Genomic DNA, 15,779 nt, shown 5'->3' with positions numbered 1-15,779 from the left:
AATGAATTAGGTACAGTATTAGGACCAGCTTCGAATCAGCTTCTGTTATTTTTGTTAAGCCAACCTCTGTGTTACCCCGTCCTTACTTTTATTACCTGATTTTACTGTTTCTCACAACACATCTGACCTCTGCAAAATGGATCCTTCCACATGCGCTTTAATCCTGTGTTCTGTCTTTTCATGAAATGTCATTTTGAAAATCTCCTTCACATTAGATTGCATACATATCTGTTTATCTGGGGTTATTTTGAAGAGTGTAATTTTTTTGAAACCGAATTTAGAAATATGTACACATTGAATAATAGATATTTCTTCAGATGAATATTATGTAGTTATGTTCCCATTTTCCAAGTTTCTTCTTGGTATTAAGGGCATACTTTAACCCTTTTAGGAGAGAAGTACAATTGTACATTATTCCAGTAATGCTTAATATTTAATATTTATGTAACCTCCTATGCTTTTTAAGTTGCTATTTTGTACAGTTTTGCTTCTTGTAGTCCCTTCACATAGATGCAACATGTAGCCTATTGTTTGGATTAGTTGTTCTTACTTGTCAGAATTATGAGTAGTATAATTGTTTTACTGATGAGACAACTCTGTAATAGAGAGGTGAATAACTTGTCCAAAATTAGGTGGCAAATTGGCTCATAACCAATTGAGATACGTTTAGAAGCTGACTGACTCCAATAAATACTAAAGCATTTGCTATTATGGATAGATCTCAAACTTAGTTCCAACAATACCGATAATAATAAATAATTATAATTATAATTGTTATTATTATATTAAAACCAAAGAGTTGTTATACAAATTTTCACAGAATGACCCTTGGTCACAGAATGTTTCAGCATGGACTAAGCTAAAAAGCAGTGAAGTGGTTCTCAACTAAGGGTGATTTTGCCCTCAGGGACATTTGGCACTGTCTGCAAATAGTTGCAATTTTCATAAATGGGGAAGGAGAAAGTTAGTACTGGCATCTGGTGGGTAGAGGTCAGGGATGCTGATAAACATCTTATCATGCACAGGACAGTCTCCCACAACAAGGGCTTATCTGGCCCTAAATATCAAGAGTGCTGAGGTTGACAGACCCTGCTGTGGTCTATATTTCAAAGGCATGTTTGTACACACAAAAAATAAAATAATAAAATAAAATATCAAAAATTGAAAAGTGAGATAGTCAGAAGAGTAAAGCATTGGTTGTTCTTTTGAAGTATTTTTCAAAAATTTGATAGCTACCTAACTGAAATCCAGGATGCCTCAGTTTAAGATGATTTAAAAGCAATTAACTCTTTACCATAGCTTGACAAGGGACACTTCCTGTGGGTCTATTATTAAGTGAAGATTCCAGAGCAAGGCTGACATAGGAAATACGTACCCAGTATCAGAAAATTCTGCTCTGATGATAAACTTCCTAAGAATGCAAGCTTTGTTTCTTCCTGATAATCTTTCATTTTTCTAAACTCTTTCTCTTGCCTTATACTGCAGATATGAATAAGCCTGGATAAGATTCAACAGAATTGAGCCACAGAAAACCACTTTTTAACCTCGAGGTTCATCATGAGAATCATTTCTAGGATTCATCCCTTTCCTTTGCAGATTGGAAATGCTTATAAGGATAAAAGATTAAAAGATAAGGGAAGGGCTTCATCCCCAAACCCTTTAAATGTTAGGATTCTCTCTCTCTGTCTCTCGTTTTACAGGGATACCAATGAAAGGCACTTATGGGCGACATTCAGACTTTTTATATTTTTACCACATTCCAGTAAAAGTCCCTCTCCAAAGAAATTTGGCCCAAGATGGAATGAAAGAATGAAAGACATTTTATTTTTTCTCCTAGATGTTGGCAATACTCCACTCCTACATGTCTGAGGTTGTTTTCATCTTGCAAAGGACTTTGATATTTGTGAATGTGGCTACAACGCTTAAAAAAAGAGCAGTGATAATGTACACTAACTATTCAGCTTTTACATTAATGCTTAACAAGAAAAAACAATTTTATCGTCCTTGATTATGGCTATAAAAATTAAGAAACCCAGAAGGAACGGGAAGATCTGTGTCCTTAAAAGCAAGCAGCTCCCATTTCACTGAGTTGTTATATCTAATTTATCCAGTGCACCCTGAAAATGAGACCCTCACCTTCTCTAACTTCCAGTCTATGCAGAGCCAGCTCTGACCGGGGCTGGTATATTTGTCCTGAGGTTCTGAGCCAGTCCTGAGGTTCTCACCCTTTTTGGTGTTGGCAATGAGTCTGCATCAGGAGGAGACTTATCTCCCTTTCTCTGCCTATTCTTTCCATCTCTATTCAAGATGAAATTTTAATAAATCAGATACATTCATATTAATTCAACATTCCTCTTGCTAGGTTTCTACAGAAGCTTATAATATTAATTGGGGTAGGGGCACATCATGCCGAATATTTGGAAGCTGAAACCGATAAAATGTGATGTTCTGGAATATAAACTGAATAGTAAGGAAATTATCTGGACTACTGAGTAAAACAATGAAGTTGGTTTAGGGGTGAGGAGTAAATAACGAAGTTGCTTATATTTTATTAAATCTGTATGTCCTTTGAAGTAGGTCTGGAATAACAAGTAAATACTTCTCTTTAGTTTAGTCGTTGGAATGTCGCTATTTCCTTTGAAAATTGAATGACAGACCCCAGAGAGGAAAACTGTCTGAGGAAGGCCATCTGGAAGGGCAGGAAAGAAGATCTTGGGAGAAGCTGTCAAAAACTCTCTGGATATTAGCTCCCTGTATGCAAGCCAATTTTCCCTCCCACGCTGTTCACATTGAGCTGCATGTTTACCCTCCCCTGCCCCATGCCCACCCCAGACCTTATAGAGGGGCCCGGAACCCAGGAGTCTCTTCGATGTGTGAAGAATTTAAATGTCTTGGTCAGGCCTGGGCAAAACCAGGACATCAGATTTGAGGATAGCCTTCCCTCTTGTCTGCCATGCTAAATCTCTACCCTGTCAGGAAATAAACCCAATATCATAATTCTATAACTGATTTTCCTCGGAAGGGATTACATCCAACTTGGTAACCAAGCAGTTGATACTCAGGATAGTTTTGCCTTCTAACGAATTTGTGCCAAAATTCAGAATATCACATTACAGCATTTGCAAAAGAATAGTGTAAAGGCCAGAGAAAAAATGAGCAATGCAGAATATTGCTCCTTAAGTCATCAAAGAAATACAGACAATGTGTCCTATTACGACACCTCAAATACCTGTCACTAACTCCATCCAGCTGTGAGTGTTCAGGAGACAATATTAACAGATGTGTGGTTGGAAATTAGCTGTTTGGGGGGTATTTTTAATGAGATAGTTCTTTATTATTTTTTCTAGAATAAATTCCCCTTCTTTAGTTAGCCTTGATAAAACAGTGTCCAAGGTAAGTCTTGGAATCTCATCAGAAATCTCAAATGATTATTTTAGCTCTTTCAACTTTCTCCTCTTCAAAGCCATTAAACAAAGCAACTAATGAGTAAATATATAGGATGGCTTAAGATTTATTTCTTTCTCCACGGTTTATTCAGAAGTAATAAAATATTAGCAAAGGTAGCCAAGGCGGCTCATGCCAGTAATCCCAGTACTTTGGGAGTCTGAAGTTAGAAGATCACTTGAGGCCAGCAGTTCAAGACCAGCCTGGGTAACATAATGAGACCCCCATCTCTACAAAAATAAAATAAAGTAAATTCGCTGTGTGTATTGGCGTGTGCCTCTAGTTTGAGGTACTTGGGAGGCTGAGATAGAAGAATTGTTTGGGCTCCGTAATTCGAGGCTGCTGCAGTGAGCTATGATTGCATCACTGCACTTCAGCTTGAGTGACAGAGCAAAACCTTACCTTCAAAAAAAAAGGCAGAAAATAGTAAAGTTAAAGAAAAAAATGTTAATAGCCAAATCCCGGGTTGATTTTCATAGATTGAAAACTCAATTTTAGAGGAAAAGAAGGGTCAACTGAATCTTCTGTGTGTCAGGTGCTCACTTAATCTTCCCAATGGAGTCAGTACCTATGAAGTACAAATGAGGTGCCAGAAAGCTGCTATGTTCCAGAACCAAGTCTTTTCTTTGAAAGACTAAATTCTCTGCTTTGTCCCTGCTGCTTTGAGAGTTTGGTTACGTATATGATAAGGCCGTGTAATAATCTTGACATCTATGACTTCTATTTGAAGAACACAACTATGCATCTTTTCTGCATCCTAATAGAAGCAGACCTATTCAGAGACAAGAGTCTTTGTGCATAGTTTCAACTTTCATGCACTTTAGTCACCTGTTTTTTTTTTTTTTTTTAAGGCAGATTTTGACTCCAAAAGTCCAGGATGGGGCCTGAGGTTCTGCATGTCTAACAATTTCCCAGCTGATGCCAAAGCTGCTGATCAGAGTCTACACCTTAAGAAGTAAGGACTGTCAGAGAGCAGTGAGCTGAAGTGCCAGGGTAGAGACTTGGGATAAGGGGCCAAAAGGACTGGCTTCTGTCAAAGTTAAAACTTGGCGCCCCTAGGGAAATTCCTTCAGTGGATTGTGGAGCCATTTGCAAAACAAGGGCTAGTGTAGTCCTCTGGTTGGCTTTTTCACCAGCAGGCTTGAGGTTCTCTACCCATACACAGCTCTCCTGAAGTCCACCGCTGTTTTGTTTGGACAGGCTGGTCTCAAGTCTGAGCTTGCACACAAAGAGCTTATCACCAACACTGGCCTTTCTCTGGCAGCTGTTTTCCTTCCGAGTCCCAGGGCTCTAGTCTGAGGGCAGGAAAAAGGCTTGCTGGAGAAAGAAGGGGTGCTATCAGCAAGCTGTGGTAGATGCCTGGCTTCAAGACCTTGCGGGGGAGTACCTCTCCCACACATACCTCCTTACACACACCCCAAAGATCAGCTTCTCCACTATGTCCTTGCCCTAGAATAAGTATGAAATAAGCAGTTTGATAAATCTATCGGTTTTGTCCATAAAAGCTGGCGAAGAAGCAGAGACTAAATTACTTCCTATAATAAAACAAGGAATTTCTATAAATTACAAGGACTGAATGTCAAGTCCTACAGAAAAACCTGCTCATGGGCATATGTGTCCGTGATGGAACAACACATATCCCACCAGCATGAGGTCAGGCATATGAAATCAGTATGAGGTATATGAGTGCCACATCTAGGAGAACTGATAAAAATCAGAGTCGTTGTCAGCTGTGTAAATTGAGAGGAAAAGGCGCCTTCAGCGACTTCCTTTGGGGAAGGCTTGTTTTGTGCTGGTGAACTGCTCCCCCTGGTGGATCAGAAATCGTCATGGTCGGGATTCCATTCTGAAGGGAGCAAACATGCTCTGGAGAAAACTGGGCAGTTGCAGGTATAGAGATATCCTCCCAAAAAAAGCTAATTTCTGAGCCCCCAGAAATACATTGAATACCTTCTGGGACCCTAACTGAGTCTTAGTGTGGCCATGATGTGAATTGCAAAGTTTGTCTTCCCACATTATTGGAGTTGTCTTGTGTATTCTCATTATTATGGTTGTTTCAAAATTGTGGCTGTATATTGATTTGAGAGATACGGAAAAGTCTTAAGTCCTGTATTTTATTTTATTTCCACTTTAAAAGCAATTCTGGATATTTACAAGGGGAAAAAGACCAACAGCGAGGAGAACATTTTTCTGTGAAATCATTTGTTTCCCTTACTGTCTACTTTTAACTGCTCTCTCTGAGGTGGTCATGTCGATTGTGATTAATTTATGCCTGGGCCTCTTGTTCTACTTCCCTCAACCTAAAAATAAGTTTTGTGATTTTCTCAGGATGAAATTTCTACTTTCATTATTTATGTCAGTGCCAATAGAGATAGTTTATGTTGTTGTTTTCATTAAAGAGATTTTTTGTATGCCCTGCCATGCACAAAGAGGAGATTTTGCAGGTCAGGCAGAGATGAAAATCTCTGACAACACTCTTACTCTTTCGAACATTCTGCAATGAGGATTGCAGCTTCAGTCCAAACAGTGTATAAGCTAAATAAGGAAGTGTTTTAAATATTTATTTAACAAGACATATTTTAAATAACCTACATATGTAAATAGAGTTCTTAGCCTGTACATTATTGCCAGGTCGATTCTCATGTTCTGATATATAATTAATTACTGGTTTATTCCTCTGTAAACCGAAGCAGGGAATAATTCCGTGATGCCAGGTCACTGATGTCAGCAAAATGTAATACCCTTTGTCAGTGGGATCTGTGCAGGAGAAATTGAGACTGTAAAATCTGTGATGGTGGGTGCCAAAAGGTGTCCAAAAAACAAGTTCCTATCTCCATTTTAGTTGTTTTCTCCTGATGTGTAGACTTTTTCTCTATGTTACCTAAGTGGGATTAGAATGCACATTTTTTATGTTAATGCAAACTCAGAATGCCTATGCAGTCTAAACTATGCATTTTATAAGTCACCTAAAGTGTCATCTAAAGTAAATGCATATCATGACCATTTTAAGCAGCACTATTATATTTAGAAACAATAACAACACAAATATCAATCATTTTGGTAATTCTTGATCATTGAAAAAATGAATTTTTAAATGTTTAAGCAAAATCCACAAGTCATTTTTAACTTTTTGAGAGAAAAATATGGCGATATGTATGTATATATATATAATTTTGTTTTCACTTAAATGAGCACCTGTCTTTCAAATTACTCTACTAAAAACTTCTAAAGGGCAAAAATTCTGAACATCAAATTTGTCAAGGGTATAGATAGCCCTAGGAAAGAAAAAAGCAGGCAAAAATGTGGCACCTTTTCTCCTTAGACTTCATTTCTGATGATGTAAAATAAGTAATCATCTCCAATACCTTAGCACTTTGCTCGTTTGGGTCAGTGGTGCAACAAGCATATTTCATTTAAACATAGCACATGTCAGTTACCAAAAACCCAACTCAAAGTTTTTATTCCAAGCTCTCTGAATTAGCTCCTCAACTAAATTCTAGCTAGTGGATTAATGACATAAAATATCTTGGCTCATGGCCACAACATCCGGGAAATTTAGTGTGGAAAATCATGTAAAATGATTGGTTTATGCCATCATAACATACCAACCTATTGGTCATGTCACCTTTTAACCATCATCTACTTGTTTTGCCACGCTTAAAAATGTTCTATATTAAATCCATAATAGATCTTTTTGCTATTCTTGCGGGGCACTTTTGGCTCATGACTGTAATCCCAGCACTTTGGGAGGCTGAGGCGGGTGAATCACTTGAGATCAGGAGTTTGAGACCAGCCTGGCCAACATGATGAAATTCCATCTCTGTCAAAAAATACAAGAATCCAGGCATGGTGGCACACACCTGTAGTCTCAGCTCCTCAGAAGGCTGAGATGGGAGAATCCCTTGTATCTGGCAGGCGGAGGTTTTAGTAAGCCAAGATCACGACATTGCACTCCAGACTGGGCGACAGAGTGAGACCCTGTGTCAAAAAAAAAAAAAAAAAAAATCTTTGTGCTATTCTGCTTTGGGAAGAAATATTAAAGTGCTGGGAAAATAAAAAATGGCAGTAACAAAAAAATAGAATTTTATGGTCTGAGTGATCATCAGAAGCACTGTTAGATGCTGCGTCCATCTTTTCGTTGATGGTACATTTTGGTGCTTAAAATAAATGCCATTTCTGTAATTAACGAATAGGGCTAGTGAGGTATAAATTCGTCTTGGCAGGTTTGAACTCAGTGCTGTTGTGCAGTTGTATGAACAAGGAAATTAAATGTGAAAAATGGCCAATCTGTCTATCCTCTGGGTTCCCTCAACAACGCGGCCTCATGAAGTACCTGCTGCCATATTGACCTCAGTACACACACAGAAGAGCCAAGGGAATTGCTTCTTTGGGGACTGGAGGTGAATTTTTAGATTTGGCATAATCTACATATTATTTTTTCAAATGAAAATGTCGATAAGTTTAAGCCTCCATATCAACGTGGAAAAAGAATTTGTCCCTTAAGATAAATGGTAGCAATAAGATACTCAGATTATCTTCTCATTAAATGTTATTATGATTGACATCTTTGTTTTCACAAATGTTCTTTAAAAATGTTATACTAAGGATGAAGTACACATAATTTTATCTATTATTCCTTCTATGTACAGATAAGACTCTGAGAATTTATAGAAACAAACATTAGAAGGCAGGAATGTGGAGAGAAGAAAGCTACCTGACAAGGGAATCTCAGGATACAAGGAAAACACCAAGGTGAGTTTCCTGACTTTTAGCTTTGCCTGATATATCTCAGACCTAGAGTTCAAGGAACCAAGAACCCCAAAATAATAATGGGAAAGGACAAGAAAAGCCCCAGCGAAAGACTACTCTGTCTCTAGCCAAAGGACAAGGAAAGGGGCAACCAAGCAAGACAGAAAAACATTTAGATAATAACCACTCTATTCTAGCCAAATTCCACAAAAACTAATTAGATGGTGTCAGAGGAGGCTGAGTAGGAAGGAGGGACTTTACCCCTGCCCCCTAATCCTGTGATATCAGTGGAAGCCATGTGGAGAGCAGCAGCAAGGCACTTCCATCCCTCACATGTTGGGAAGTATAGTGGACCCTCGAACAACACAGGTTTGAACATCACAGGTCCACCTAGGTGCAGATTTTGTTAAACAAAAATGTAGCAACTTCCTAGCATGTTCAGATACTCTTCTAGGTACTTGGAAGACAATAGTAAAGAAAAACAGCCAAAGCCCCTGCTGTCCTGAAAGATGCAGGCAATGGAAGAGGTATTAGTTTAGGGACCCACACAAATAAGTAAATTTGCATATATGCTAAGGGTCATAAAGGGGTGGCATGTGAGCATGTGAGAATATAGAATAGACACATCTGCTTGGCTAAGGGCAGTCAGAAAACACTTTCTTCAGAAATGAATGATTTATTTAAAATCTTCATAATTAATTAGGCAGAGTAGGCCAAAAGTTATCTAAGTACAGAGAATGTACCTGTGCAGTTTATTTTATTGACTTGAAAATTAATTTCCTTCATAGGAATGTAAATCTCTGTTTACCACAAGCCCTCTGTCTCCACAAGTTCTGTGTCCAGAACTGAAGGCAGATCCAAATACAATATTCATGGGATGCAAATTCCCATGTATGCCAAGAGATAACTGCTTTATTGGAGGCCTAGTGGGGAACTGAAACTCCCACTCCTGCTTAGCAGGAATGAGAAGCCCCCTTTCAGAGGTCAACAGAAGCTGAGTTAAGAAACCTGAACTTTTACCCTACCTGGCAGTAATGAAGCGACACCCACCTTCGTCTGTGAGGATGGTGTGAGATGAAGGTAGCTAAAACAAAAGGTTTAAATAAGATTCAGAGTCTCATCATATTGAAATGTCCATATTTCAGTGGAAAATTACTCATCATACAAAAACAAGAAAGAACTAAAACTAAGTGAGAAAAGATAATAAATATATGCCAACATCAAGATGACACAAATGTTAGAATTATCTGGCAAAGCTTGTAAAGCAGCCATCATAAAAATACTCCAATGAACAATTAAAACATTCTTGTAGCTAATGAAAATTTATTTGGAAAGCTTCAACAAAGAAATAGGAAGTCATAACCAAAAATAGAAGATAAAAGAGTCAAATGGAAAATTTTGAACTGAAGAATACAATAACCAATATAAAAAACTCAATGCATGGGCAGAATGGAGGAGACAGAGGAAATATTGGTGAACTGGAGGAAACAATATAAATTGACCATCTATACAACAGAGAGAAGATAGAGTGAAAAAAAGATGAAAGGAACCTCAAAGACCTTCGAGATTATAGCAAAAAAAACCAAAATAAAACAAAACCAAAAACCAACAAACAGACAGACAAAAAATTAACCTTTGCATTCCCTGAGTCCTAGAAGACCGGAAGATGGCAGACCTGAAAAACATTCTAAGAAATAATGGCTGAAATGTGTTTAAATTTAGCCAAAGACATAAATATACAGATTTAAGAAACTGAGTGAATCCCAAATAGGATAAACTCACAGAAATTCATAGCAAGACACTCATAGTCAAACTTTTGAGAACTGAAGACAAAAAAGAAAAACAAAAAGTCAATCCAGATGTCCTTCAAGGGGAAGATGATTAAACCAACCGTGATACATGCATGCTAATAGAAAAAAAACTACTGATGCCTGGAACCACCTGGATGAATCTCTAAAGAATTATGGAGAGTGACAAAAATAATTTTAAAATGTTACATAGTATATTGTTTTATTTATATAACAACATGATTGAAATAACAAGATCATAGAAATGGAGACTCATTAGGGGTTAAGGAGGGGGAAGGATAAGAAGGAAGAGGGAGTGGCCATAAAAGGCAGCACGAAGTATCCCTGTGCCGATAGAAATATTTCTTATCTTGACAGTAGCAATGTCAATATCCTGTTTGTTACACTACAGTTTTGCAAGATGTTAGCATTGGAAGGAACTGGGTAAAAGATCACTCTGCGTTCTCTCTTACAACTGCAAATAAATCCACAATTATCCTAAAATAGAAAGTTTAATTTACAAAAACATTTCTGCAAGCCTTGTAACTCAGTGGCTACATAACTCTGGACTTAGACCCAAAGAATTTTGACTGTCACTTTAATCTCATGTAACCCTGGACAAGTATTCAGCCAGTCTGAGCCTACTTTCTTGTCAGTTAAATGGGCATAATGATAGCTACCCTACTTATTAATATTTCACCAACTGTAGTCAGGATGAAATAAAAATGAAATAATGATCAGGAAGGGCTGCTTTTTTATTGTTCTTAGGAACTTTTGTTAAAATGTCTACTAGAGATCAAGGCTCCCAACACAACTAAAGAGACATTGACACAGGAACTGGCGGTGGGCATGAAATACCTAAGACTAAATGAATGTTATGTAATCCCAGCACTTTGGGAGGCCAAGGCCGGTGGATCAGGTGTTCCAGACCAGCCTGGCCAACATGGTGAAACCCTGTCTCTACTGAAAACACAAAAGTTAGTTGGGCGTGGTGGCGTATACCTATAATCCCAGCTACTCAGGAGGCTGAGGCAGGAGAACCCCTTGAACCTGGGAGGTGGAGATTGCAGTGACCTGAGATCTCACCATTGCACTCCAGCCTGGGCGATAAAAGCGAAACTCTGTCTTAAAATAAAAGAGTGTTAACTCTTTTAACTCTAAGACTAAATGAGTGTTAAAATGAGTGCTAACATATATAGAAATTTTTACAGTCTGTCAACATAGATCAGTACAATTATTAGAAAAGGGAAATTATCTAGGTGCAGTGGTGTGTGCCTATAGTCCCAGCTGCTCGGGAGGCTGAGGCAGGAGGATTGTTTGAGCACAGGAGATTGAACTGCTGTGAGCTATGATCGTGCCACTGCATTCTAGCCTGGGCAACAGAGCAAGACCCTGTCTCTAGGAGAAAAAGAAAAAAAAGACTGAGGTTAGCCTAAGAAAAACCTTCATAATTTGCAGCGGTATTATTATTATTGTTGTTCTTAACAATAATAATAACAGAAAAAGTTTTTCTATTTTTGTAGATGTAAGAATTACAAGTACAGTTTTGTTATGTGGATGTAGTGGTGGGTATTGGTGAAGTCTGGTATTTTAGTATAAACATCACCCAAATTGTTTACTTTATACAAGAAAGGGCTTCTTATCTCTTCAAGTACCACAGCAGAAAGAACTCACTTTTGCTGGATGCTAACTGTGTGCCAGGCTCCAAGCTAAGCTGAATGCATTTTTTAATTTATAATCTATGTGTTAGTATTTTATGTGAAATCTTTAAAAGCAGGGTTCCATAGCTGAATGGCAGAGTATGTGATATTTAACAAAGCACCACTAAAGAGGAAATCCCATCTTTTATATCTTCCTCAGGCATTCAAGAGTTTCCAAGTTCAGAGGCTACAGTAAACTCTTAATCCCTGACCTCTTCAACACTCTGAAACTTCAGATATCCTCTCCTTCTCCTTTCCTTAAACATGCTAAATCTAACCTACCATCTTGGTTCTTCAGTGTCCTTTCCCTTGCTTGCTGTGCACAGCTTAAAAAGATGAGCTACACCAACAACCAGCCTCCCTGCTGTGCAGTTTTTCCTTTGCACTACCTGCTTTCTAGAGGACAATGAGTCCATAGGGCTTGGTCCTTTTTCTCTTTACAGCACCTCCCTAATACTGTGCCACTAGACTGGGAAAAGACAGAAGAGTTTGCAGCTAGATGTTGCTGTCTTCTTCTTAATACATTCCACCTCATGTATTATCACAATTTACAATTGAGGAAATGTTAGTCATCTACTGAGAACATACAGCTATGTTAGTTTAGGAGGCTTAGGAAATGTTTAATTAACAAAGAGATGACTGTTCCACATTGTGCACGAATTTGTTTTCTGTTTTCTGGTTTTTGCTATGAGACTCTAGTACAAAGAATCCATTTATTTGTTTATTCATTCATTTGTTGATTCTTTCATTTATTCATTTCATCATGCATTCATCAATGACCTAACACCTACTAATTGCAGGGCTCTGTGGTAGACTCCAAGGATATGAAGGTGAACAACATATAATCTAGAGAGATACACATGAAAACAATAAAATGAGAATATGGTTCCTGGTGTATCAAGGCGTGAAGGTGTTGTCATAACACAGAGAAAGAAGCACTTCACTATGGAGCCGTCACGGCACCTAGAGAGCGTGGGAAACTCAGATGGCTGCAAGGGCCAGGCATACAACAAACTCCCATGTTGGGGAGTACAAGGAACAGCCCTGATGAAATCTGATTGAATAAATGAATAGAAGTGGACCTAGTGTTCTAGGGTCTAGGAACATTATATGTAAGAATGATATCCTGTGGGCCCCATCTTTAACATTTAGCTCAACTGACCATTTGTTACCATATCCAATAAAACCCTCCTACCTCTCCTCATGCCACATGCAGTAGCCTCCTATTTAGTCTCCCTGTTTCCACTCTTGCCATATTTCGTCTTCTTTACTTGTCAATCAGAGGGAGATATAATGCATAAGTTCATGCAACGTCTTCACCCAATGGCCGTGACTGAGAGTTGAAGCCAAAGCCTTTATCTTTGAAAGCATGTTTTTCCTAAATAAACATTAGAATACCCTACACAGGATTTTTAAAAATATCAATGGATGGCCCCCACTCTGGATGAATTCTGCACCCCCAAATTGTGGATGATATAAGGTGGCTCTCAGGCTGCTGCCATTCCATCATCTCACTCCCTCATTATTTTACTCAACCCAATGTTGCCTTTGCACAGAGACCTTTGCTGGCCACCTTGTCCAAGCATCACTGTTCTTTCACATCTTTGCTGTTCTCATAGTACTCTTGGCAATCCACATGCTCTGTTATTGGCTAAATGTGCTTCATAGTCCATCTTTCTCTACTAGAAGATGTCTGCTAGAAGAGTTCAGGGATTTTACTTGTTTTTGTTTACTGTCCTACCCCAGTGCCTGTGAAAGTGCCTGGCACTCACGCCTGTAATCCCAGCACTTTGGGAGGCCGAGGCGGGTGGATCACCTGAGGTCAGGAGTTCGAGACCAGCCTGGCCAACATGGTGAAACCCTGTCTCTATACAAAAATTATCCGGGCATGGTGGCAGGTGCATGTGATCCCAGCTACTCGGGAGGCTGAGGCAGGAGAATTGCTTGAACCCAGGAGGCGGAGGTTGCAGTGAGCCGAGATCATGCCTCTGCACTCCAGCCTTGGCAAAAGAGTGACGCTCCATCTCAAAAAAAAAAAAAAAAAAGAAAGAAAGAAAGAAAGAAAGAAAGAAAGAAAGAAAGAAAGAAAGAAAGAAATTGCCCGGCACATAGGAGGCATTAAATAAATAAAGTATAAAACAAACTGAATTGACAATGACGAATTTAAGAAGGGTTTAACATGTTCAAGGGAAGTGGAGGGAAGTTGATTGAGAGTAGAAACAAGCAATAGGAAATGATCCAGGAAAGAGAAGAAGGCTTGGTAGAAAATAAGGAGCTAGGATATTTTTTCCCTAAGAAGATGAGGAGCCTTATTCATTTTAAACAGGAGACTTTCACAGCTAGCTTTGTTTTTTAGAAAACTCAGTCTTGCTGAATTTTGGGAGATGAGTTAGTCCAAAATTGAGTTAAGGAGACAAAAATGAAAATACCTGTTAGGAGACTCTCCTAATCCTTAATGAGAAGAAGTTGAACAAAACTATGGCATATTTCAACATATTTCAACATCAATGTATGGAAAGAAATGGAAACTGACCCACATATGGGTTTGTTTTGTCTTACTTGGTATTGGGCACAACCCTGAAGAGTGAATGGTCACTTGCAATTAAGTTTATAAGCAAGTAAGTTCACGGCTTCTCTCCGGCAAAAACTCAGGTTTGTCTTTGGGGCTCTCTCTCTATTCTGGTTAACAAATACAAATTAAGGTAGGCTTAAAAAAGACAAACTTAAAACATTTCCAGAAACCAAACAGAGGTCACTGAAGCCCCTCTAGGCCCCTTCTGTTCCCACATTCTATTCCCCAAGTGCGGCCTACATGATCCTGGTTCCTCTCCATTTATAACTTTGCCTCATAGGCCGTTCTGCACATTTCTCATCCCGATGTGAAAAAGTGCTACAGGGCGTCTGTTCAAAATCTTTTCTAATTTCTATTTATGCTTCATTGTCCTATAATCTGTTCAAAGCTGAAAATAGAACTAAGGTATGATCTCAGCATAACCTTTAGCAATTAATTTTGTTACTATTTTTTTCTAACTGAACAAACTCCTAATAAATAAGAAAAGCTTTATCTGTAAAATAACCCCAAAATAGACCTCCACCTCTTACCCTTCATCCTTCTCTAAACTTGCTAAGCCAGTATTAAGTAGAGTCTCCCCCACCCCGCCCTTCCTTCCTTCAACCCAATATTACTTTGGTTAAAGAAGTAAATCTAATTAAAGGAGCATGGGAAATGGAAGTCGTTTTGTGAGTTAGAGAAGCTGGCTCTGTGTATCTTTCACCGGTGATTGGGCTTACAAGATGGAAAATTCCATACACTGCTAAGCAAAGTGCTCTCAATGTTGTTGCAACATCTGCTTTTCTTTGTGTAAAATCTTTTCCACGGGGTGGGTGAAGATTTTTATTCTAATTGAATTTGTAGTTAATTCCAGATAAAGATAAGCCGGGGTTTTTTTCGGTTTTTGTTTTTTGCTGATGCTGCTTAAATCAGGGGTTCCAGGCCCATCCCTCAAGGCCCACTTTTACCCAAAATGAATCAAAAGGAGTAGCAGGTGCTTTGGATTAAGTGACCCTCCATTTCTTTACATTTTTAGAAAGAATAAAATACTTAGATTCACTTAATTCCTGATTTGGTCTTTTAAATTATTTGTGATAGGAGAACAAACTCTTGTTTCTTAAATGCAGTGTTTCTAACCCATTAAGCAAGGATGCGGATGGGCCTTGGTTTGAAGATAGCTTACTACCCTCTTTGAGAATATTAATGTAGTGTTAATTGATCATCATAAGAAATATGTTTATGGTCCTAAACCATTCTTAAGAAACTAAGGAGTCTGTCTTCCAATATTTGTTGCAATATTTGTTAAACAAATTAATAAATGGGTGAACAAAAGAAAGAATAAAATATAATGCCTGTGAGCCTTCCAGTGGCTTTGCCATGCCACCTACTTGATAGCCTTCTGCCTGTCACAGTGGCCTTTGGCAATGAATAATTTCCATCAGTTTATATTTTGGATGTTATGAAATAAGAGAAGACTATTCAATTACAATTACTTTTGTTTTTCCAACCAACCTTGATAAATGAATGGACCCTCATCTCCTCTCCCTG

The sequence above is a fragment of the Homo sapiens genome, chromosome 15, assembly GCF_000001405.40.
Source record: "Homo sapiens chromosome 15, GRCh38.p14 Primary Assembly".
In the NCBI taxonomy this organism is placed as follows: domain Eukaryota; kingdom Metazoa; phylum Chordata; class Mammalia; order Primates; family Hominidae; genus Homo; species Homo sapiens.
The sequence above is the reverse complement of the archived record's forward strand: the minus strand, read 5'-3'. Positions refer to the sequence as shown.